The 24,949-nt window shown below is 43.1% G+C and overlaps 1 protein-coding gene and 1 long non-coding RNA gene across 5 annotated transcripts in view, besides 5 other annotated features; one reads left to right on the plus strand and one right to left on the minus strand.

Annotated features, from left to right (window-relative positions):
- Positions 1 to 3,665, minus strand: part of FUCA2 (alpha-L-fucosidase 2) — a 16,909-nt gene extending 13,244 nt beyond the window's left edge. Inside the window, exon 1 of the mRNA NM_032020.5 lies at positions 3,356 to 3,665. Within this exon, the coding sequence (NP_114409.2) occupies positions 3,356 to 3,579 (224 nt within the window). The 5' untranslated portion in view covers positions 3,580 to 3,665. The remainder of the gene's footprint in view (positions 1 to 3,355) is intronic.
- Positions 2,898 to 3,101: a silencer, noted in NCBI's record as "fragment chr6:143832090-143832293 (GRCh37/hg19 assembly coordinates)". NCBI's record gives its function as "represses an EF-1alpha promoter that drives an FKBP-Casp9 reporter gene in an ReSE screen in K562 erythroleukemia cells {active_cell/tissue: K562}" and the evidence as "EXISTENCE:reporter gene assay evidence [ECO:0000049][PMID:32094911]".
- Positions 3,302 to 3,964: an enhancer, noted in NCBI's record as "H3K27ac-H3K4me1 hESC enhancer chr6:143832494-143833156 (GRCh37/hg19 assembly coordinates)". NCBI's record gives its function as "activates a minimal SCP1, AML or CMV promoter by ChIP-STARR-seq in naive H9 embryonic stem cells {active_cell/tissue: H9 hESC(naive)}" and the evidence as "EXISTENCE:reporter gene assay evidence [ECO:0000049][PMID:30033119]".
- Positions 3,524 to 3,653: an enhancer, noted in NCBI's record as "active region_25200". NCBI's record gives its function as "activates an Ori minimal core promoter by ATAC-STARR-seq in GM12878 lymphoblastoid cells {active_cell/tissue: GM12878}" and the evidence as "EXISTENCE:reporter gene assay evidence [ECO:0000049][PMID:35858748]".
- LOC105378035 (uncharacterized) lies at positions 3,730 to 17,868 on the plus strand. 4 transcript variants are annotated; one of them, XR_007059796.1, is made up of 4 exons: positions 3,730 to 4,721; positions 4,939 to 7,354; positions 10,108 to 16,337; positions 16,424 to 17,868. It is a non-coding gene; the product is annotated as an uncharacterized LOC105378035 (long non-coding RNA). The 4 variants fall into 4 exon arrangements; XR_001744402.3 differs by lacking the exon at positions 3,730 to 4,721 and having other exon boundaries at positions 5,911 to 7,354; positions 10,108 to 10,180; positions 16,157 to 16,337; XR_007059795.1 differs by having other exon boundaries at positions 10,108 to 17,868.
- Positions 3,764 to 3,943: an enhancer, noted in NCBI's record as "active region_25201". NCBI's record gives its function as "activates an Ori minimal core promoter by ATAC-STARR-seq in GM12878 lymphoblastoid cells {active_cell/tissue: GM12878}" and the evidence as "EXISTENCE:reporter gene assay evidence [ECO:0000049][PMID:35858748]".
- Positions 3,965 to 4,625: an enhancer, noted in NCBI's record as "H3K27ac-H3K4me1 hESC enhancer chr6:143833157-143833817 (GRCh37/hg19 assembly coordinates)". NCBI's record gives its function as "activates a minimal SCP1, AML or CMV promoter by ChIP-STARR-seq in naive H9 embryonic stem cells {active_cell/tissue: H9 hESC(naive)}" and the evidence as "EXISTENCE:reporter gene assay evidence [ECO:0000049][PMID:30033119]".
- Positions 17,869 to 24,949: the final 7,081 nt, after the last annotated feature.

A 24,949-nucleotide genomic window follows, 5' to 3' on the forward strand; every position in this document is an offset into this window, starting at 1 on the left:
TTCTAAAAGGAAGACTACATGCCTAAAACATAATATGCATCTATTATATTCAGTAGTAGAGAACACTTTGGAGGCACAGGACAGAAAGGGAGGCAAAAGTAAAATTAAAAAGATGCTGTTATTTTAATAAATGGACTCAACCTTCAACAATTACTTGCTATACGCATTCATTCTAAGCAATGGTATATTGACCCTAAACTGCGTAAGCAAGACTTCATGAGGAAAAGCACATCTACACATTTTAGATAAACACAGCAGTAACTATCCTCATGAAATAGATGCAACCCCCATTTTTGACCCACCTCCTGCTTTTTCTATCACCATTCCTTTCATATGAGTATTTCTACAGGATAAGCAAATCCATAATCAGCACTATATTTCCCAAGACGATCAGGAGACTCTGCTAAGAAGAAATAATTGAAGGGCATACTATGCGGCAGGCATGCTGTTTGCCTGCCCAAAAGTCGTATTTACGTAATTTCCCAGCTTCCACTACAGCTGCGACAGGGATGTGAGATCCATGCTGGCCAAGGGAACTTGAGGGAAAGCCAACTTTGGGGACTGTGGAAATGGTTTCCCTCCTAATGAAAAGAGACACTGGCCTTCCTGCCTTTGGGCAGGGTTGTGTGAAGTTATGGTGCCTGGCTGCCATCCTGTGACCATGAAGGGACAAGTCCCCAGGCTGAGGATGAAAGAAAGAGCCCGTGTCTTTGATTTCATCAATGAACCGACTACTCTAAATTTCCTGTTATGTGAGATAACAAGCCCCTATCATTATACCTTTTAGTTGGGTTTAAAATCCTTGAAGCATTTTTATTATTTATTTATTTATTATTGATTAATTGATTGGTTGAGACAGGGTCTTGCTCCATTACCCAGTTTGGAGTGCAGTGTCATGATCATACCACACCACAGCCTTGAACTCCTGGGCTCAAGCGATCGTCCCACCTCACCCTCCTGAGTATCTGGGACTACGGGCATTACATTTTAAATTGAACTGCAAAAGAGAAACTGGGACATTCAGAAAGTTGAACAAGAATAAGGAATTTCTCCTAGCATCATCTAATTTGAACCTGCACTGTCCCCTACAGTCTAGACTTGAATTTCATGCTGAGAGATGAAAAGAGGCATTTATGGTAAAGGTCTATCATTTATATTTGGTTTTTAATAGACATTTAAAACAGTCACATATACTCATCTATACTGTTGATTCCCCGAAAGTCAAATTGAGAGTGAGGAGCAGAGGATACAAAGGGAAATCACAGGTAATTAAAGAATCTTCCACAGGGTTAATGCATTTTCAGATCATCAGGAATCTGTTCTCTATTTTGTTTAGTATGAGAAGTATCTTTATTATTCTAGGTCAAAATAACCATGGGTTTATCTGTAGAAAATGAAGTTATTCATAGCAAAGAATAAAATGACTCAAAACTAGCTGTTTTATTTTGGCATAGTACTAGTCTCAGTCAAAAATGTCAAATCCTCTTTGGCACCAATATATCTTTACCTAATCTTCATGGTTGAACAAAATGATAATATAAGATACAATTTAGGGGGAAGAAAGTTGTTAATTATGTACCACACTAATCTAAAATATTTCCAAAACAAGCTCAAGATTCCTTACAGCCCAAAACATGCAAATAAAGATTTGTAACATCTTTTTGAAGTAGCTATGTTTTGGCATAAGAATAAAGAGTCTCTGTTTTAGAAGGTGAATTATTTAAAATATGAATAATTCTCCATAGCTTATCCAGTTTTATTTTTTACATCAATTGACCTACCAATAAGAAAGGTTACTGGTTGCAGGTAGTCAATTTCTTTGTCATGAAAGGGTTAAAATATGCTATTTTGGCACATTTTTAAAGGTAAAGAAACTCGAAAAATAGCAGGTGCATGAAGAGCACTTTGCCCTTTGTGCTGTTTCTTAGGAGAGAAGATGAAATTCCAGTATGAAAGGCACTCTGTACTAGAAGGAAAGGCAACATCCTAAGCTTCAAAGACAAGAAGTAGAATACTGTACAGAACTTGCTAAAATTTATTATTTAAGTCTCCCCACATAATTTAGTCACACAATGTCAATTTAATTCTTGGACCCAGCAGAGACCCTAACAGAATGGAGGTGTAATTTTTCTACCCCTAGAGTAGAGCATGGTACCATGTATACTATGTAATGTTAATATAATATATAGTTCATACTCTGTATTGTGTCTACTAAATATAGTATGTTAATTTGGATGTATACTATTTATGTAGTATATAGTTGATTCAAATAAATACTGTTTAATGATTCCGTTCTTTTACTTAAGAATATATTATGTGTCCCAAAGTCCTGGAATTACAGGTATGAGCCACCGCGGATCACCTGAGGTCAGGAGTTCAAGACCAGCCTGGCTAACATGGCAAAACCCCGTTTCTACTAAAAAATACAAAAAAATTGGCCAGGCATGGTGGCGTGCGCCTGTAGTCCCAGCTACTCAGGAGGCTAAGGCGCGAGAATCGTTTGAACCCGGGCGGCGAAGGTTGCAGTGAGCCGAGATGGTGCCACTGCACTCCAGCCTGGGTGACAGAATGAGACTATGTCTCAAAAAAAAAAAAAAAAGAATATATTATGTGTATGTTTCTATATATGCACACAAAATATTTCTGTTTTGAAGGACTTAATACTTGTAGCATTTAGTCAGAAAAGACATGTGCAACAGTTTAAGAAATTACATGCACATTTTCACATAGATCTCAAGGTAAAATCTAACGCACAGATTTTTGTGTAGCACCTTTCATACGGCAGTATGATAACTGGGTTGTGTTAAGAGTACCATTCTAGAACCTCTTTAAAAAGTTCCTAGAGCCACACATGGGTAACATGTTAACATTAAGTAGCCAATGGTGTTCAATGAACAGTCGTTTCACATACTCATGACTATGTTTTAACCATAACTTCATGGCAGAACGACTGTAAATTGGCAGGTAGCAGCAGAGCAACCATAGGCCATTGTGCCTGAGTCACCGCTCGTGTGATGCCCCTGCACAAACTGATGAATGTCTGTAGTAGCTCGATGTTGTAGTGTCATAACTACAGCTTAATATGCGCAACTATGAAGAAGCTGAGGAGTCAGGAGTATCTGAAAACTCTTACAGTCACACGGAAGAAAAATTCCCTGTTCATCCAGCAGAAGCACTTAGGCAGGAAACCACATATTCGACACCCGGAAGTGCGAAACGCGGGTAACGCAGTGGGAGGTGAAACCGACGAGGGTGCAGGCAGCACCAGGCGGCGAACCAGGCCCGCTGGGTGGTGGCTGGAGGCTGCGGGTGGGGACAAAAGCGCGGCAGACGAGACAAAAGGGAGCGCACTCACCAGAACCACTCGCTACCGAAGCTGGGCACGGAAAACACTCCCCAGTGGATGAAGATGCCGAACTTGGCCTGGTCAAACCACGCGGGCAGCTGGCGGGCGTCCAGGGACTCCCAGGTGGGGTCGAAGCGCGTGGCGCTGTGGGCAGGGCACGGCGGCGGCGGCAGCAGCAGCAACAGCAACAGCAGCAACGGGAACGCGAGCCTGGGGAGCTCCTGGGGCCGCATGTCCCGGCGCAGGCCGGCTGTCCTCTCTGCAGGCTCCCGCGGCCTCGGGAGCGCTGTTCTTCCGTCTCTGCCGCTGAGTATGCCGCGCCGCGGTCACCTGACCAAGTCGGACTTGGAAACCGGCCACCCTTCCCCCTCTGGGGCGGGAGTGGCCACTCTCCCGGGCGTTCCGAATGACCTCAGGAGGGCTGCATCGCTCAGCATAACTAAGGCCAGCATTACCCCAAAGCCAGCTGGGACGGCTTTGCTAAGGCTCTGTCCTCTTGAGGGGAAAATATGAGTCTGAGTCAGGGCCTTGTGGCCAGCGCCTCTGCCCTCAAGCAGACACGACCCTGACCAAGAAACTGCCCAAGAAGACAATGCCCCCAGCCCACCCTGGTGGCTGCTCCACACGTCCGAAGCGTGCACGAGAAGGTCAAGGCAGGAACTTCAGCCGGGTCTCGCCATGATGGAACATGGAAAGCAACCTAGATCCTTCTCGGCCTCTGTATCAGCTCCCAAGATCCTGCATGTTAGAACCGTGGTTGTCAACCTTGAATTTGTATCAGATGAAATTCCAAGAGCTTCAGATTCAGCAGTTAGGTTGGGGCCCAAGAATTTGCGTTTCTACCCAGTTCCTACTTCTAGGATGTTCTGATGTTGGGCCGGGCGCGGTGGCTCACTCCTGTAATCCCAACACTTTGGGAGGCCGAGGCGGGCGGATCACAAGGTCAGAAGATCGAGACCATCCTGACTAACACGGTGAAACCCCGTCCCTACTAAAAATACAAAAAATTAGCGGGACGTGGTGGCGGACGCCTGTAGTCCCAGTTACTCGGGAGGCTGAGGCAGGAGAATCGCTTGAACCCGGGAGGCAGTTACAGTGAGCAGAGACGGTGCCACTGCACTCCAGCCTGGGCTACAGAGTGAGACTCCATCTCAAAAAAAAAAAAAAAAAGAAAGAAAACAAAATTGTGATGTTTCTGATTGGTGGTCCAAACTTTCCTGAGAACCACTGCATTGAACAAGGAGATGATCTGAGACAGGTGAAACCAGTGGAATGAATGTTTAAGAAACCTGCAAGCTTGGGAAAAAAGGCCAGCAACTTGGAAAGATTAATCAAAAGGATATTTGGGAAGCTTATCACCTCCACCTCTTGTTTGGTTTGTTTGTTTGTTTGTTTGTTTGTTTGTTTGTTTGTTTTTGAGACAGAGTCTCGCTCTCTCGCCCAGGCTTGAGTGCAGTAACATGATCTAGGCTCACTGCAGCCTCTGCCTCCCGGGTTCAAGGATTCTCCTGCCTCAGCCTCCAGAGTAGCTGGGACTACAGGCACATGCCACTGTGCCAGACTAATTTTTGTATTTTTCTTTTCTTTTTTAGTAGAGACAGGGTTTCACCATGTTGGACAAGCTGGTCTCAAACTCTTGACCTCAGGTGATCTGCCCGCCTTGGCCTCCCAAAGTGCTAGAATTACAGGCATGAGCCACCAAGCCCAGCCTCTCCTCCACCTCGTAAGTGTTTTCAAAGTAAAGCCAGAATCCTCAACTGCTTCTGCCCCCATGAAATCATTACCCTTCAATGAGCCAATTCAAATGCTGCTTCTTTTGTGAAGCTTTCTGCCACCACCCTTCCCTCCCAGAATGTTGTACTTTCCCTGATCTGCTTCATAACACCTCCTTCCAAGCACACATAGGATTTCACGCATCCTCTAGTAGCTAGGTGGTACAGGTCTGATTTCCCATCAGACTGTGAGCTTTTTGAGGGCATTCATAATGACCTTCTTTTCTGTAGTGCCTACAATTACAGCAGAAAAGCAGCACTCAAAATGTTTGTTGAAGCTCTCCAGTGAACTGGGGTTCTAATTATTGAGTGAAGAACTTGACACTAAGTGGCTGTTGCCTGCATTATCCCAACCCATCTCTGCAGAGAGATGGGAGCAGCAGAGGGCGCTGTCACTGCAGGTGTAGGGGCATTTTTCCTCTCCATGACATGCCAGATGGCCCCCCGGGGCCACAGCTCCACCGTAAGAGTCCCCAATTTTGTTTTGTTTTTTTACAGTGAGGGTGTTCTAGAGGAAAGGGCTCAACGAATCCAATTGCAATAGCTCCAGTTTGTGATAAAGATGACAATTTTTTTTTATTTGAGACAGAGTCTGGTTCTGTTGCCCAGGCTGGAGTGCAGTGGCACAGTGTTGACTCACTGCCACCTCCACCCCCGGGGATTCAAGCAATTATCGTGTCTCAGCCTCCCGAGTAGCTGGGATTACAGACCCCAACCTCCAGCTAACTTTTGTATTTTCACCATGTTGGCAAGGCTGGTTTTGAACCCCTGATCTCAAGTCATCCTCCTGCCTCAGCCTCTCAAAGTGCTGGGATTACAGGCATGAGCCACGGTGCCTGGGCTGACAAATATTTATTATTGAGTTTGTGGAACCCAGAATGATCTAGGGCCTCAGTGGCCACTGAACCCTGGGGCACACTTGAACAAAAATATGGGCTTCTCAGCCACTATGCCTTGACATCCTCTCTAATCAGAAGTTTGTGTAATAAGTGCAAAAGACAATATTCACAGTGACAATGATACTGTGAACTGCCATAGGGAGAGTAGACATGACTGTGGTGACAATGCAGCGGCAGCAGGACCCTGTCCTCTCATAAGTGGGCATCCTTTCCCCATGTGAACACCACATAGCAGAAACGCCCATCTTCCAAAGCCCTTTTATCATGTTATGAATTATTTACACTTCCATATATTTCAGTTAAAGAGTGGTAATCAGATCTGTATGGATGCCACTTGGGTCATTTGTCATTTCACTTGAAGGCAAAGAAATGTTTTTAACTGGTAAGTACAACCTTATCATAAAAGTCTATTTTCTGTAAGAAATACTGAAAATATATTAAAGACCTCCCTTAGTGCCCTTCAGGACACATAAGAATCCTAATATACCAGGTTGGGAACCATTGCTATAGGATTTGAAAGGAATAGTAAATAGTATTATCTGAAAGTGAAGAGGAAGAAGAGATTCTACTTAAAAATATTTGTTAAATGACTGAAAGAAATAAATCTATGAAGTCGTTTAGAACATGGTCCTTTAGGGAAAGACCTGCCTGCTGTAGATTCCATTCACATTTTATACGTTTGTAATGCCTTACAAAGCTAGTCTTTGCACTTAAAGCTACTGCTAACTGAGCAATAGAATCACACCTCATAAGGCTTAAACTGTGTATTTAAAGGTTTTGATAGGGGATCCAGAAATCTGAGTGAAACCCTGGGTTCTGCAGGTACACATGGCTCATGTATAAGGCATTTGAAGGGCTTGTGGCCTTGATGGGGAACACTGTCAACTCTGATCCTGTTTGTCTGAGGTTACTTGGGGTACAAGATGAAGACAGAAGGGCGTGCCTCCCTTCTGGAACCATCACGGCCAGCAGCCGCATGTTGGGCAGCTGCTGATACTCAGGGTGCCCAGGCGGGAGATGGTGAGAGGCCAGCCCTAGCCAAATTCCTTGCTGCTGCCAGAGGAAGCAGTCTTGCCATGTGTGTCCACAGGGATAAGATTAGCTGCCGAGGTGGAGCTGATATCTGAGCGAGGCTCTCGAGGACACATTCTGGATAGATCTCCATATGGGAGTTGGATGACTGCCACCAGCCAGTCTTGGCAGTCCCCAGAATTCTTCTGAAGTGGACAGTGGAAGAAGTGAAACATTTGCCTGGCAGCTGGCATCAATGCAGTCTCTCTCTGGACATGCAGAAGAAAAGGTTCAAAAGGAACTGAACCCAAACCAGTCTTTATTTGGTAAATATCCCAGCTTCACGGTAGAAGAGCAGGCATGGGGGAAATAAAAGAAAACCCGCCTTTTTCAGGCCAGGGGGCAGGGAAGAGAAGCAGAGAGGAATAAAGGGAGGAGGCCCCGGGGTGTCAGCAGAGAGGGGAGAGCTGCCAGGCTGTGGCCCCACGCCAGCCTCTGCCATAGGGCTGTGTAATCCTGGGGAAGGCGTTCAACCTCTGTGCCTCAGTTTCTTCACCTATTAAATGTGAGTGATAATCGTGCATCTCCCTCCTAGGGGTGTTGTGAGAATTAAATCATGAGAAGTACATGTTAAGCCTCGTCTACGTGTGGACCAGTATTACCATGTGTGTGTTAGATCAATTCAGGGGAGCCTACAGAAAGCAGAGATTTTGTCCTGATTCCCATTTAACCTGAAGTCCTAAATGAGAATCAGGACAGAAATGTCCTGATTAGGACTCAGGCTAACTGGCAAGTGTAGCAAGGTACAGCCATGTTAGACAGATGGAGAGGCTGCTTTTTACCTTTCCTGGGGTGACCTTGATATTCGAGTGACACAAACAGGACCCAGAAGTAGCCAAGAACCTAACTGGAAATCTGTCCTGAGTGGTTCTCTGTGGCAGGGCCTCCTGTGCCAAGGACCTGGGGTTCACAGCCATTCCTCAGAGGACTCTTGCCTGTCTGTGGAAACTGAGTGGTGGGGGCAGGAGCCCGATACAGACCAGATCTTGAATTAGAGCAGCTTCAGGCTTCATCTGGGAACAGTGAAAGAACGGGTGTCAGCACTCCAGGACCAGAGAAGGCAGGGACGGCGTGTTCCTTCCCAGAAGCTGGAGAACCCCGCCCCTACTCCATGCCACCTTAGAGAGAAGCAGGGGAGGGGGAGGCATCTGCAATATTGAGCGTTGTTACCCAAAGAACAGCCTACATATTTGCTGAAGATGCTGTTTAATTGACAAGATTTGACTATGTTTAATGCAGGTAGAATAATTAAATTTGATCACCAACCACCCAGTGTGTGCATGGGGGACAGGAGCATGCTGTCTGCTGAGGCAAGTAGGGTGACTAGAAACAAGAACAAATTGCCACTTTTTCTCTGCACCAGGGTTGTCAGTGGCAGGTAATTTAATGATCCTAGTATGCAGCTAAGCATCAGAACACATGACACATTTGCCTTCTACTTCCGTCCTTCCCAATGTCTTCCGGGAAAAATGAATGATCTAATGAGTGGCTGTGCACGGAGGCCTAATTCAGGGAGATGAGGTCTCAGTCACACATTGAGTCTCCTTTCCAGTGGCCCTTATGGCTGAGGGAGACAGTGTCCCCTGGGCTGCACCAGTTGGAAGAGAAGGCGGAGTTTTCACAGCCCTGGTTAGAAGTGGGAGGGAAGAGGTCAGGTCCTCAAGAGGAAGAGGAAGCAAAAAAAGAAAGAAGGAACTGACAGAACTGAGATAGGGCTGGGCAAGAGGGAGAAAGGAGATGAAAGAAAAAAAGAAAGAAAAGAAAAGAAGGAAGGAAAAGAAAGAGAGAGAGAGAGAGAGAAGGAAGGAAGGAAGGAAGGAAGGAGAAGGAAAGAAGGAAAGAAAAAAGAAAGAAAGGAAAGAAAGAAAGAGAAAGGAAAGAAGGGAGGGAGGGAAGGAAGGGAGAAGAGAGAGAGGAAGAAAGGAAGGAAGGAAGAAAAAGAAAGAAAGAGGAAGGGAGGGAGGGAAAAAGAGAGAGAGAGAAAGGACATCAGAGAATGGAGCTGGGGGGGAAAAAAAGATTCAAACACAAAGAAATTCAAAACCAAGAGTGTCCCAAAATTAGAATAAAAAAGAAACTAAAACACAAAGACAAACAATAAGCGAGAATAATGAATAAAGACAAGAGAAGAGGGGAGAGGTGGAGGTATCAAGAGGAGATGCTAAAATAAACCCCAAAACCAAAGCAACATGAGAAGCCTCAGGCTGAGCTCATCACAGCAGGCATGCCAGCAGGGGCACAGGGGAGGAGACAGCAAGGGAGGAACCAAGGAGGGACTGGCAAAGGTGAGCACAAGCAGGTGCAGGAAATATGTTGGGGAGGCAACGGGCAAGGGCTGAAGAACAAGTGGGGAAGAAGACACGGATGAAAGAGAGTGAAGAGGAGTCCTCCTGAAATAAGGAACCGAAATAAAGACCAATGAATGAATGAATGCAGTGTTTTCATTCACATAATAACCAGAGTCTAGGCAGCTTTCCTCAGTTTAGCAGGATGATTAAAAACATGGGCCCTACACTACTTAGCAAGTTATTCATGGGTGCACACACTTTTGGGGGTTAGAACCCACATAGAAAGGTTACCTAGTGCTGAGATGTCCTTTCTCAATTAGCAGTCTGTCCTTGCCATACACTATTCTGATGGTGTATGATGTATTCTGTATGTATAGGTAAGTATTCTGTATATATATATATGTATTCTGTATGTATATGTAGGTATTCTGATGATGTATGATGTATTCTGATGGTGTATGAATGTTGTAAAGCCACACTGGTGTTTTGATTCTTTCATTTCACTGTCGAGTGAAGCCTCTGATGCAGAGGAGCAGGTTAAGAACTGCCAGGCTGTGCTGTGACTTTCCTGGGCCCTGGGCACCTTTGCCTTCACAGACCTCTTATTCCTCCATTTAAAAAAAAAAGTCATAGAGGTGTATTCTACAACAATGTTGGTAAACAGGTGAATGTATGAATATTACATATTAAAACATTTTCTTTGACTTACAAGGTTTTTTTTTCTCCTTCAGATTTTAGATGGAATTAAAACATTTTTGTGGGTCTCGACAAGTATTGCCAGCACTGCACCTGCCACCCTGATAGGTAAGTCAGCTCTGGAGAACTTAGAGATACAGAGTGACAACCACTAAAAATATACAAAGAGATTTGATTAAATATTTATATCAATGTGAGCCAAGGTAGGTACGTTAAAATAGCAATGATTTGGTGTAGTGATCATGGAAATTTCATGATTCAAGACAAAGGTGGTTTCTTTAGGGTGCTGGCATATACTTACTGAGTTTAGTGCTTACTATAAGCTAGGCTGTTCTGAATAATATATTTAGGCTTTTATTAAGTCCTCATAAGGTACATTCAAGTATATAAAGTACCTCCAAATGTACTTTTATTATCCTCAATCTACAGATAAGGACAAGAGGCAGAGAGAGTTAAATAACTTGCTAAATAGTGTAGGGCCCAGGTTTTTAACCATCCTGCTAAACTGAGGAAAGCTGCCTAGACTCGGTTTATTATGTGAATGAAAACACTATATTCATTCATTCATTGGTCATTATTTCTGTTCCTTATTTCAGTTATTAATTACCAATTTACTTTGTGTGTGTGAGAGACGGGTCTCGCTCTGTCACCCAGGCTGGAGTGCAGTGGTGCGATTCCGGCTCACTGCAACCTCCACCTCCCGGGCTCAAGCGATTCTGCCACCTCAGCCTCTGAAGTAGCTGGGACTGCAGATGTGCGCCACCATGCCCAGCTAATTTTTGTACTTTTTGTAGAGACGAGGTTACGCCATGTTGGCCAGGCTGGTCTCCAACTCCTGAACTCAACCTATCCTCTCACTGCAGCCTCTCAAGGTGGTGGGATTACAGGCATGAGCCACTACACCCCACCTGTTAATTGCGTCTTTATCTCAGTAGGTTGAAGTATATTTATACAGCCTCTGCTCTGTGTCAAGTACTGAGCTGAGCTCAGCAGTTGCAATGGCAGGAACACAGACCCAGCCCTATTCCTTATATGGCTGACTCTCTAGTGGGAAATATGGACATTAAACAAACGACCACCTAAATATAACACTGCAAACTGGAGTTCATGGCATGAACCATGGAATGCTATCAAAGCACTGGGATCCCAATCTAATCTGGGCATCAGAGAAAGCTTCCCTGAGGAATTAAAATTTGGATGAGGTCTCAATAATTAGTTGATGAATTAGGCAAACAGTGGGAGCAAGGATGTTCCAGGCAGAGGCCAACTACATGGGTCAGGTGCACAGGACATAAACCGAGCCATCAAGAAGCTTCCAATGTGAAAAGAGAATAAACCCATAGAGACAAGCAATGAAGTGCTGCCATGAGACAGATGTGTGGAGCATTTGAACAATGGGAAAGTGCTGCTAGGAGAGAGGTGGTGTTCAATTCAATGAAAGCAATGTAGGATGAGATCTGTAAGGAAGACTAGATAAGCCAAGAGGCATGCAGAGGATCTTATCCATTTTAGAGCCCTGGGGGCTATTTACTGGAGTAGCTGAAGATAGCACCGTGGACACAGGCTGAAAAGGAAGGAATTGCTATGAGCTCCATGTGAGGCATCATAGATGAGACCTATGGAGCTATCCAAGATCATATCCTGACACAGTGGTCAAAATAAAGAAGCAAGTGTGAGCAGTGGTGAGGTGATGGCTCATTTAAAGAAAAGCCATGCCCTGCAGACTGGTCCCAAGCTGGAGACCCCTTTCTCTAATTGTCTGAAGAATCCCTTTGGCAGGCTGTGTAATACGCATGACTCCAATCTCTTGAAGTCTCTAGATGGAGGCCACATCCCATTGCCTTTACAAAACATCCTCTTTATCCATGGATGTTGATACTTGAGAACTTAACAGAAAGAACTTCATTCCTTCTGTGAAGATCAGTGAAGCTCATATTATTATCTGACTACAGAACTGCTCAATGTTCATCCCAAAAAAGTAAGACTCCCTTAAATATCTGCATAAGATTCATTTTCTGTGTTTTATTTTCCTAATTTTCTTCAAAGAAGATGTGTTACTTTTGTTAATAAAATATTAAAAATGTAAACCATGGAATCAGGGAAGGAAAATGGCAGATAGGAGGCAGGACTAAATTACAGCTGACACTCAGAGGGACAGAGCAGCATGTGGAGACTCACGTTGTGAATTTTTGCTCCAGAACTACTACTGCAGGATTATACCAGGAAAGCCAAGAGAATCCACAGACCCTCTGAAGGAAGTGGATAGCTCCTGCAGGACCCAGGAGACAGCCCAAATACTACACAGCAAGAAGGTGCAATCTATGAACCAGAAAGTGGGCCCTCACCAGACACTGAATCAGCTGTTTGTGTCTAGTGTCTTGACCTTGGACTTCCCAGCCACCAGAACTGCCAGAAATAAATTTCTATTTTTTATTAGTTAAAAAAAAGTAAGCCATGTAGATTATTCATTAACATATGAAGCAAAATGGAATCATAAAAATGAAACATTCATTACAATTTTTTGGAAACTGCTATTTGTTTTGTTTTGTTTTTGAGACTAAGCCTCGCTGTGTTGCTCAGGCTGGAGTGCACTGGCTGTTCACAGATGTGACCATGGCACGCTGCATCTCAAACTCCTGGCCTCAAGTGATCCTCCTGCCTCAGTCTCCTGAAGAGTTGGGACTACAGGGGTGTACCACCACACCCAGCCTTGTTTGTTTTTGAAGATAAGATCCATATCTGAATTTTTTAAATCAGTGACTGAGCAACATAAAACATGAGGATTTCCCAGATTGCCCTTCTTTTGTTGAAAATATTAAAAAGTGATCTTAAATGTATGGATACATATAAAACACTAAGATTTCTCCATTTGGTTTATGTACTTCATAATAGCTTGTGACATGCTCAAAATAACATGATTTTTTTCAATTATTTCTTTTGCTCTTTTAAAAATCACATTTTATTGAATTTATTCATTCATTCATTTTGAACACCTAACATATACTAACAAATGTGCCAAGTCCAGAAGATTCAAGGCTGAATCAGAGGACATCCTTGACTTTAAAAAGCTGACAGACTAGAAGAGCCAAGCCTACATGAAAATAAATAAATGCAATACGGACCAAAAGCACAATTATCGAAATATGTGCAGGGTAGAGGTGCTGAGCAGTGGGAAGATACAGAATAACTAATGCCTGTTAGCTGCTTCTGTATGTATGCCAGGTAGTGTTCTAAGTGCTTTACTTACATATATTAGCTCATCGCCAACCTGTGATCGTTTCCATTATCATATTGTTACACTCATTTTATAGATGAGGGACTGAGACAAAGAGTGGTTGCCTAGCTTGCCCAAAGTCACTCAGCTATACTGAGTGGCAGAACCAGGATTTAAATAATATGAACTCTGTGCTCTCAACCTCTACACATTTGCTGTCCAGACTGTCCAGCAGACTGTCTAGGAAGAAATGCAAAGCACTTTAAGCAGAGAGGGCAGCTTGGGCAAGGGCACTAGTGCAGGAAAGACACAAGCACCTTGTGGAGTCAAGCAGATAGGATACCAGAAGGCTGAGGAATATGCCACATCATAGGGAGGCTTGGATCAGTTTTGGTAGACAATGAGAGGACATTGAAGGATTTTAGTCAGAGGAGTGATGGGGCAGATCTGTTTCTTAAAAAGATTATTTTGACTGTGTTAGGGAGGATGTGCTGCAGAGGATCTGGATGCAGGTGGGGAAGGGAGGATGTGTTGCAGGAGGATGTGTTGCAGAGGGAGGATGTGCTGCAGAGGGTCTGGATGCAGGTGGGGGAACCCCCTTTAGAGACGACTTCTCCCAGGTAAGAAAAGGCTGTAGCAGTGGAGTTGGAGAGAGAAGAATGGACCAGAGCTATTTTAAGGAAGACTAGGCCAGTGCTGGTTTTGATTAGTGGATGTCAAACTTAGTGGTCGTTTGGTATTTTTACACGAAACCTTCAACAGAATCAACAGTGTGCTTCATGAAGGCAGAGCCCAGATTTGTTTTTCTCGCCGTTGTACTCCCAAGACTTGGTAATGTGCTCAGGAAATGCTTATTGATTGAATGAGTTAATGAATAAGTGAATAAACCAAGAAGTAAATAAAAAAAAGAATGAATCAAAGAAATGACTCAGTATTGGATTAGACCAAGTGCATAAGAGAAGAAGTTAATGGACTCTCAAATGACTTGCCGAAAAGATTAAGTCAATTTCTCTTTTCTTATGCAATACATTTTGTGTCCAGGCCTTTCTTATGAGTATTGTGTGTGGAACATAAAGCAACCAACTTAGCTCCACGATTTAGCTATTGGGAGACCCATGAAAGAGCCTACCCAGCCCTGCCTGCCTCTGGGGGTCTCGGTCATGTCATGTGACTACATCGCTTGGCTCTGTTTCCAAGTTCCCCACCTCTAACCTCTCTGGAGCTCACATTCATCTTTCAAAAACATCACTTCTGTTATATCACCCATCACTCACTCCCTTCACTACACATCTCTTTGCCCTGCTTTAGTTTTCATCTGAGCACTTACTGTTTCCTGACATTATGTCATTCATTCATTCATTCATTTATTCATTTTATTTGGTTCTATCTCTCTGTTAGTTTCCTATTGCTGCAGTAGCAAATTACCATAAACTTAGTGGCTGAAAACAGATTTATCTTGCAGTTCTTGAGGACAGAAATCTGAAATGGGCCTCACTGAGATAAAGTCACTGTGGCCAGGGCTGCATTATTTCTGGAAGCTCCAGGGGACAATCTGTTTCCTTACCTCTTTCAGCTTCTAGAGGCTGCCCTCATTTCTTATTTTGTGGACCCCTTTGATCTTTAAAGCCAGCAAAGGCAGCTTGAGTCTTTCTCATGATGCTGTCTCTCTGGTCTCACTCTTCTGCCTTCCGCTTCCCCATTCAAGGACTCTTGTGATTATATTGGGCTTGCCTAGATAAAGCAGGATAATCTTATTTTAAGGTCAGCTGATTAGCAACTTTAATTCTAGCTGCAATTTTAATTCCCCCTTGCCATGTAACAACATATTTATAGATTACAAGGATTAGGATGTGGATGTATTTTTTTTTTTTTTTTTTGAGACGGTGTCTTGCTCTGTCACCCAGGCTGGAGTGCAGTGGCACAATCTCGGCTCACTGAAACCTCCACCTCCCGAGTTCAAGCAATTCTCCTGCCTCAGTCTCCCAAGTAGCTGGGATTACAGGCATGCGCCACCAAACCCAGCTAATTTTTGTATTTTTAGTAGAGACAGGGTTTCACCATGTTGGCAGGCTGATCTTGAACTCCTGACCTTGTGATCCACCCGCCTCGGCCTCCCAAAGTGCTGGGATTACAGGCATGAGCCACCGCACCTGGCCCAGGATATGGATGTCTTTGAGGGGCCATTTCCTGCTTAGCACAATCTGCCTCTTATAGAATTTAAGTCTCTTGAGAGCAAAACTTTATCTACTTTGCTCTCTACAGTACAGCCATTGATTAGAAGAGGGCCAGTATATTGTAAGCATGCAGTAAATATGTTTTGAATAAATCAGCAAATCTTGTCCTTCTTTTTCACAATCCATCTCATACCAAGGCAGAATAATTTTCCTTCATATCAGCATGGATCATAATATACTCTTTGATATGGTTTGGCTGTATTCCCACCCAAATCTTATCTTGAATTGTAGTTCCCATAATCCCCATATGTCATGGGAGAGAGCCGGTGGGAGGTAATGAATCATGAGAGAGGTTACCCTCATGCTGCTGTTCTCATAATAGTGAGTGAGTTCTTACAAGATCTGACGATTTTATAAGGGGCTTCCCACCTTTTGCTCTGCACTTCTCTTTCCTGCTGCCATGTGAAGAAGTACGTGTTTGCTTCCCCTTCTGCCATGATTGTAAGTTTCCTGAGGCCTCCCCAGCACTGTGGAACTGTGAGTCAAATAAACCTCTTTCCTTTATAAATTACCCAGCTTGGGTATGTCTTTATTAGAATCATAAGAATGGAGTAATACACTCTTGCTCAGAGAACATGAATCGAGCACTTCTAGGTGAGATGGCAGCTTGGCCCCAGCCACTTTGTTCTTTCCTAGCAAACTCCAGTGGAAGTAACAGCAGATCTTGCAAATAGAGAAACATCTGCCTCAGTTCTGAAGCAAGCAAGTGACCATCCTCATGCCACAAAATAGAAGAACTTCTGCTAGATCCAGAACTGTCACCCCTGGGTCGCATGGAGGCCTTGAGGGTTGGGATTCAATCCTCATTCCTGAGAAGGTGAGAAGCATAGCAAGGAGGTCAGGGGATCTGAGGGGCTTCAGTGATGCCCCTTACTTGAGCTCTCTCTGATCTCTCTTAACCAGGAGCTCTAGAACCCCATTGTGAATGTGGACATTGTTATGGATGCAAATGTCCACCTGTGCAGAGAATTAGGCAAGACAGAGAGAGGTGTTTTTCTGGGAAGACTGTCTGAGCGAGCAACCACAAAGTTTCTGGTCATGGTTCCTGCCCTGCCTCCCTCTCTACTTTGGAGCTCCTGTAACTCCAAGTGGATAATATACGGTTTTGTTTTTGTCATTGTTATTGTTGATGTTGCTTGTCTTTACTTTGTAAAATATGAACCTTTCATCATATGAGTGATTTTGGCAAAATGCACCTCAGACATTCAAATACTTCCTATTTATTAAGCGCCTCCCACTGTGCAATCCATATGCTAGGCACTGCAGATGATGTCTTAGTCTTTATAACAACCTTGCAGGTTGGATAGCATTGTTCCCTTTTCAGAAATGTGGGAACATGCCCAAGGTTCAGGGTATTCTAAGTGGGAGAATTCAGATCCAGCTCACTCAGAGGTCTCTGCTGGCCCAGGTCTGTCCATTGTCTTCTAGTGTAAATGAAGGCAGCTGCTCTGAAGGCAGGAGGACCAGGCTTAATCTGAAACCTGTGATCATTGAAACAAGCATGGCCTGCTCTGCACAGGGTTCAAATGAATAGGTCTCTATTTTCTCCTTTCTACATAATCACTCAAATAAGATAGGGACTAGAGTCAGGCAAGTGAGACTCTCATCCCAGGAAGAAAATAGAAGGGAGCACAAAAAAACTCAGTAATCAAGATAAATAATAACTTTAATACAATACAGTGTTTTAAAAAATCAAGTCCTCAAACTATAGCTGTCTGCCTAGCTATTTTTAAACATAAAGCTTTACCAAGGCTGGGATGAGGCTTGAGCAAATGAGGCCAGTTGTACAAGTTCAGTGTCAGATCCTATTTAAAGTTTTGATATTTTGTTCATCATGTTTATTTTTTTCATTAATTCTATCTGAAGCACCCACCCACCTTCTCAGCAGATATCTCCCTCTGGGGCTACCCTTTCCACATGAGTTATAGGGACCTGTGATGTGCAAAAGGAAGTTACACAACTTCTCTTCATGATTTCTGTCTTTTGGGCACAAAATTCTGACTTTTGAAGAATACAGTTGCATAATCACCACCACAATCAAGATATACAACAGTTCCATTATCCTAAATAGTCATCCCATCCTCCACTCCCAATAACTGGCAACTACCGGTCTGTTTTTCTGTCCCTATAGTTTTGCCTTTTCCAGAATGTCATTTACATGGAACAATATAGTATGAAGCCTCTTGAGCCTGGCTCCTTTCATTTAGTATAAGTATCTGAGAGTCTTCCATGTTGTGTGTAGCAGTAGTTCCTATCTTTGTATTGCTGGCTAGTATTCCATTGTTGGATGTACTTATTTGGGTTGTTTTCAGCTTGGGGAGGCTATGAATAAACCACTGTAAACACTTGCTTTCAGAGTTTTACATGCATATAAGTTTTCATTTACTTTGGGTAAATACCTATGAGTGGGTTTATTGGATCATTTGATATGTCTACTTTTCACTTTCTAAGAAACTGCCAGACTAGTTTCCAAAGGGGCCCTTTTGCATTCCCACCAGCAATTGACTTTAGTTTTTGAGGGTGGGACTAAGGAGGACCCAATCCCCAGGTGTGTTGACATCCCTACCTCCCAACTGTGAATGGGGTCAAGACCTCTGGCATCTTAGTGACGGGCACCTTAGCACTCCCCAGCAATCTCTGAGGAGTGAGGACATGGAAGGAGGGATTTCTGGGTTGTCTTGGAGATCTACTCAAAGGACGTTGTGAAACCTAGGTGTTCAACAACAAATAAATAGATAAAGAAAATGCGGTGTATATATACCATGGAATACTATTCAGCCATAAAAATGAAATCCTGTCATTCGAGGCAACATGGATGGAACTGGAGTCCCTTATGTTAAGTGAAATAAAGCCAGGCACAGAGAGTTAAACACCGCATGTTCTCACTCATATATGGAAGCTAAAAAAAGTTTATCTCACAGAAGTGAAAAGTAGAGCAGAAGATACTAGAGGCTGGGAAGAGTAGAGGGAAGGAAGGAATAGGAACAGATTTGTTAAAGGGTACAAAATTATAGCTAGACAGAAGAAATAAGTTCTAGTGTCCTATACCATTATAGGATGACTATAGTTAACAATAACATATTATATAGTTTCAAATGGCTAGAAGGAGGATATTGAATGTTCCCAACACAAAGAAATGATAAATGTTTGGGATAAGGGATATGCTAATTACCCTGATGTGATCATATACATTATATGTATTGAAACATCGCTATGTACCCCACGAATATGCACAATTATTGTGTGTCAATTAAAAATAAAGGTATAAAAGAAAAAAAAACCCATGGCTGAGTGTAGCAGGGATGGAAGGAGTCCCTAGTGAATCACTTGCCTTCAATGAGAGAGTTAGAGTCACAGAAGCAGCAATTGCTGAGGCTAACACTCAAGATAGTCCCCTCCTGTCTTCCTACACTCATAAGCCCAAAAGTTCTTGTTTGGTTCAAGACAAGGAAGGCATCCTGGAAAATGTCTTTTAGGCAATGTTTGTAGAAGGAGCTGAGCTAGGTGTGATTTATAGAAACAAAGAAATAGAATGTGTATCCTGAATGTCTTAGAGCAGTGCTCCTACTACATGCCATTCATTACACCCAGTGCTTTATATACACGAATTTCAATCCTGAAAACACCACCACAAATTAAACGTATGCATTACTTAGGGATCAAATTGAGGTATCAAAATTGAAGCAAAAGACAGTGATGCTGATCACATTTCTTCTGTGCCTAAATCTTTTTACAGGCCTCTGTTTCACATTCCAGCACGTCCCCGCTCTCCTCCAAGCCTCCAGCCATACTCACCTCCCTCCTCTTCGCTTCCATTTTCCTGCCTTGGGCCCGCATGCATGGTATTTTCCCTGCCTGGGATGCCTTCCCTGCCTCTTCCTCTTTTTTATCCCTACTCACTTGTATAAGCCACTTCTTGTGTCCTGAAACTTTTCCTGACTCACCCCAAAAGGGTCAATTATTCCCTCCTTTATCTCTCCACTGTAGTTTGTACACCCCTGTCTCCTATGCTGCTAGTCCAAGATTAGAGAGATTCCTATTCACTTCTGTGTGCCCAGCACAGAGCCTGAGCCTGTTAGGACATAGTAGCTGTTTTAATTTATTTATGTTTTATTGTATTTTTAATTGACAAGTAATAATTGCATATATTTATAGCATACATGAAGTTTCAAGGCATGTATAGATTGTGGAATGATCAAATCAAGACAATTAGCCTATCTATTACTGCAAATATTTATCTTTTTTTGAGATGGGGTCTCACTGTGTTGCCCAGGCTGGAGTATAGTGGCTCAATCATGGCTTACTGCAGCCTCAACCTCCCTGGGCTCAGGTGATCCTCCCACCTCAGACACCAGAGTCTCTGGGAGTACAGGTGCACATCACCACACCTGGCTAATTTTTGTAGTTTTTTTGTAGTGATGGGGTTTTGCCATATTGCCCAGGCTGGTCTTGAACTCGTGGGCTTAAGCAATCTGCCTGTCTCAACCTCCCAAAACTAGGATTACGGGCGTGAGCCACTGCATCTGGCCCAAATATTTATCATTTCTTTGTTGTGAGAACACCTAAAATGCTCTCTTTTCATTATTCCACAAAATGTATATATTCCAAAATATGTATAGTCACCATGCTGTTGCGATACAGCACCAGACCTATTCCTCCTCCCGTCTGACTGACTGAAACCCTGGACCTGTTGAGTAACATCTCCTCTTTCTCCATCCACCCCATCGCACCCCAGTCTCTGATAACCACCATCCTACACTCCACTTCTATGAGTTTGTTTTAGAGTAAGAAGAAGAAAGGAAGAGTGGGAGGAAGAGAGCATGGTAAAGGAGGTGTTTACTTTTGCAGCCTGGTACTCTAGAGGGAAATGGTGGGATGGGCTCAAAACTATGAGCCAGCTTTGGCCTCTCTCATAAAATGAATTCATCTTCGATTTTAAAATGAAAACAAAGAAAAAATTTCACAGAACCATCACATTCCACACCAGAAGAGGCCTTAGAGACCATCAAAACTAACTTCCTGTTTTTTGTTTCTCTCTCTTTTTTTTAAGTGACTTTAAAAGCAGGCCTACTTTCACTATCAGATGGTGATTTATCCTCACTCTGCTGATTACCTGGATTCCTTGCCTTTCTCTTATTTCATTTTCATCGTGTATCGTCAATTTTGATCTCTGCCGTTTCTTTTCAGATAATATTTTGATCTTTCTCTTACTTGCAGTCATTTTTATCTGCCTATATTAAGGAAATGCTATTGTCAGTGAAAGACACTTAGTTCTAATGCCAAGTATTTTGGGAAAATATTTCATAAGAAAACATACCATATTTTTATGTGCATGTTTTGCATATAAACTCTGAGAAATAAAACTTTTTAATATATTTGGGGGATGGGGAAGATAGCAAAAGAAAACTGCAATTATAAAAATAATTAGTTAGAAGGGGATGGGTATTGTCTCAAGGAATGCCTTCAGGAAGTTTTGATTTTAACCAGAGTGTCACACCTGTTTCCATTACCATGAAAAATCCACATTCATGCATCTAAAGACTACTAGTGATGAAATAGGGACAAATTCAGTTACAAAGGTCGTTTAGCTCCCTAGCTTGTCTAATTTATGAAATGTGGATAGCTTTCATTATGTATTAAAGCCTTTGAATAACAATTCCTCCTTCTGTAAGTGAATCTGCAATGTATAAAGAGCCCTCCAAGTGGCACTGTGGCTTTAAGAGGGGCTCCTGGCACAGCAAGGAGGAGGAAGACACTGGCCAGAGATGAGACAGATCCCAGCCCACATTTGGGCTCCTGCTGAAGGCAGTGTTCCTAGCACTGATGGGCGGAACAAGCTAGTTGATAAATTTTCATTTATTTCTTTTATAATCTTACATAAGTCATCACTTTAAAGAGAGTGGTAAAGCAGTGAGGTACAGTTTTTTTGTTTCTGTTATTTTTTTTAATTTTATTTTTGGTATTAAACACTCTTATATGATTAAAACTATGCTTATTTCATCTTCAGTTTTTATCCCTAACCTTTTGGAAATGGTATTCAATGAAAATAGCTAAATAAACTAATAGAGTTTAGAAACATTTTGCTTTGAAAAGCTGTACTGGATGCCTCTTTTTTTAAAATCAGTGTCAAACAGGCACATTTCCTACGTGCTGGCCAACATGTCCGTGGTACCAAGGGACAAGTCTAAGGAGAAAGAAATCTTTTTTTTTTTTTTTTTTTTTTGAGACGGAGTCTCGCTCTGTCGCCCAGGCTGGAGTGCAGTGGCGCGATCTCCGCTCACTGCAAGCTCCGCCTCCCGGGTTCACGCCATTCTCCTGCCTCAGCCTCCCGAGTAGCTGGGACTACAGGCGCCCGCTACCACGCCCGGCTAATTTTTTGTATTTTTTAGTAGAGACGGGGTTTCACCGTGTTAGCCAGGATGGTCTCGATCTCCTGACCTCGTGATCAGCCCGCCTCGGCCTCCCAAAGTGCTGGGATTACAGGCGTGAGCCACCGCGCCCGGCCGGAAAAAGAAATCTTATAGCATAGGTGGGACAGGATAAACAAAACTGGAAGTAAACAAAACCTCAAATAAGCAGGATGCCTAATCATTTTAGGATTGCATAGACTTAGTGGTATTTGAAAAGTGAATCCTAGCCCACCTTTGTCCACCTCGTCAGGTTCAAAACTGAACTACTCCCCACAGGGTTCCTCTTCTGCAGTGCTACATTACAGCATCCAGAGGAGCCCCAGGTCCTCAAGGCTCTGTCCTTGCAGATGACCTTCCTCATCCGGGGGTGCCTTTGCATTGCAGACACCACATCCTCTGGGAAGCCTTCCCTGGTTCTCCACCCCAAGCGGGTTAGGTGACTGCTCCTCTGAGTTTCCTCAGCCCTTCTACATAAATCTCAGTTTTGTCAGTTGCCATGGACTGCCAAGTAATTATTTGTTAATGTCTACTCCCCAAATAGACTTCATTTATTGATTCATTCATTCAATACACAGTGGTGCTGGGAAAATAAAGGCAAGAATCAGTACTTACTGTCTTAAGGTAGCTCAAAGGGAGTAGGGGTGACAGATTAGCACCCCAGCCACTGCAATCCTGTGTAAAAAGTGACATAAGAGCCTGATGGTACTGTTTAGGATGGGCACTTCACCTGGCTTGGAGGTTGGGGAAGTGTCAGGAAAGCTTCCTGGATGGTGCTGTGGTTTGAATATTTGTCCCCTCCAGAATGCCTATACATTGCTGGTGGGAATGTAAATTAGTACAACCTCTTTGGAAAACAGTGTGGAGATTCCTTAAAGAACTAAAAGTAGATCTACCATTCAATCCAGCAATCCTACTACTGGGTTTCTACCCAGAGGAAAAGGAGTCACTGCATGAAAACAACCCATTCACGTATATGTTTATTGCAGCCCAATTCACAATTCCAAAGATATGGAACCAACCTAAGTGCCCACTGACCAATGAGTAGATAAATAAAATGTGGTATATATACAACACGGAATACTAATCAGACATAAAAAAGAACAAAATAGTGTATTTTGCAGCAACTTGGATGGAGCTGGAAGCCATTATTCTAAGTGAACTCACTCAAGAATGGAAAACCAAATACTGTATGTTGTTACTTATAAGTAGGAACTAAGTTATGAGTATGCAGAGGCAGAGACAGTGATATAATAGACTTTGGAGACTCAGAAAGGGGAGGGTGAGAGGAGAGCACGGAATAAAAACTACATATTGGGTACAACATACACTACTCAAGTGACAGGTGCGTTAAAATCTCAGAATGCATCACCATATAATTCATCCATTTAACCAAAAACCGCTTGTACTCCAAAAGCTATTGAAATAAAAAATACACATTAAAAAAGAAAAAAGAACATTTGTCCCCTCCAAACTCTTGTTGAAATTTAATCCCCCACCTGGCAGTATTGAGAGGTGGGACCTTTAGGAAGTGATTAGATCATGAGGGCTCTGCCCTAATGAATGGAATAATCCATTCATGGATTAATGGGTTTATCATGGGAATGGGATTGGTGGCTTTATAAGAGGGGGAAGAGAGACATGAGCTAATACGCTCAGCCCTCTCGCCATGTGATGCCCTGCACCACCTCCGGACCCTGCAGGGAGTCCCCACCAGCAAGAAGGCCCTCACCAAGATGTGACCCTTTGACCTTGGACTTTGCCTCCATAACTATAAGGAAAATTCATTTTCTTTATAAATTACTAACTTTCAGGTATTCTATTAGAAGCAACAGAAAACAAACTAAGACAGATGAGGAGACGCTTGACCTGAGGCTTGAAGGATGAGTGACAGTTGGTCAATTAGGTCATGCTAGAGAAGGCGGGGGATGATGCTGCAGACAAAGGAAACGGGAGTTCAAAGGCACCCCGAGAGGAAGAGGAGGTGCCATTCAGAGAATGATGAATTGGTCTGCATGGCTAGGGAGTGGAGTATTGTGCAGAGAGGGAAGATTTTCTGCCCTCTGAGGGTGTGATAATTGAGTCTATGAAAAATGGACAGTAGGCAGATTAACAGGAAAAAAACATATTTAATTATGTATATATGCACAGGAGTCCCACAAAATCTGAGACTGGAAGAAGAGTCAGATGATTGAAGCTCATATAGTATCCCTGAGCTACAGAAAGCAAGAGGGGCTTGGTGCTTCTGGGAGTGGTGGTGACACACATCATGGGAGGGTGAGGGGAGGAAATGTGTGGCAAACAAAGGTTGTCTTATTGTGCAGATAAAAATTCTCTCGGGTAATAAAAGTTGTTTCAGAGTAGCCTATCAGAAGAATCTGTATCAGCCTGTGACAAAGTCCATCTGGGCAAGGTGTCAACCTTCATTCTCATCTTCTATGATAAGATCTTCCCTGGTTGATGAGAATCCTAAAAAATTGTTTTCCTTTACAGAAGTAAATTTCTTTTACCAAAGGACAGCTTTTCAGAGCTACTCCTGTGTCTGCAGTTTCTCAGAATAACCCGCTCAAAATATGCCAAAGAAGTATATCCCAGAGTGGCATATTTTGGCCTCCTACAGTCATATTTTGAGGTGTTGTGTCCTGAGCCGCCACAGTATGTATAACAGCAGCAAGGAAAGAGTTTGGGGTAGGGTACGGAACCCTGATATGCCATGCTGAGGAATATACACTTTATTCTGTGTATATTCATAGACACTTGCTTTGAGGGAATTAAAATGGAGGGGTAGCGAAGTCTTGTGAGTACTTTGGAAAGATCATTCCAGAAATGGGATGGGGGCAGAGTAGAAGAAAGTGAGTATGGAGATAGAGAGTTCCTTTAGGAGAAAATAGAAGATGGAGGCTCAAACTAAAGAGGTGGCAATGGAATAGCAGGGAGGAAACCGATTCTGAGGATATTTATTTAAGGTATTAAGATATTTATTTATCTAAGAGAATAGACAGAGCATGTTCATGAGGAGGAG

This window comes from Homo sapiens, chromosome 6 (assembly GCF_000001405.40).
Source record: "Homo sapiens chromosome 6, GRCh38.p14 Primary Assembly".
Taxonomy (NCBI): Eukaryota; Metazoa; Chordata; class Mammalia; order Primates; family Hominidae; genus Homo; species Homo sapiens.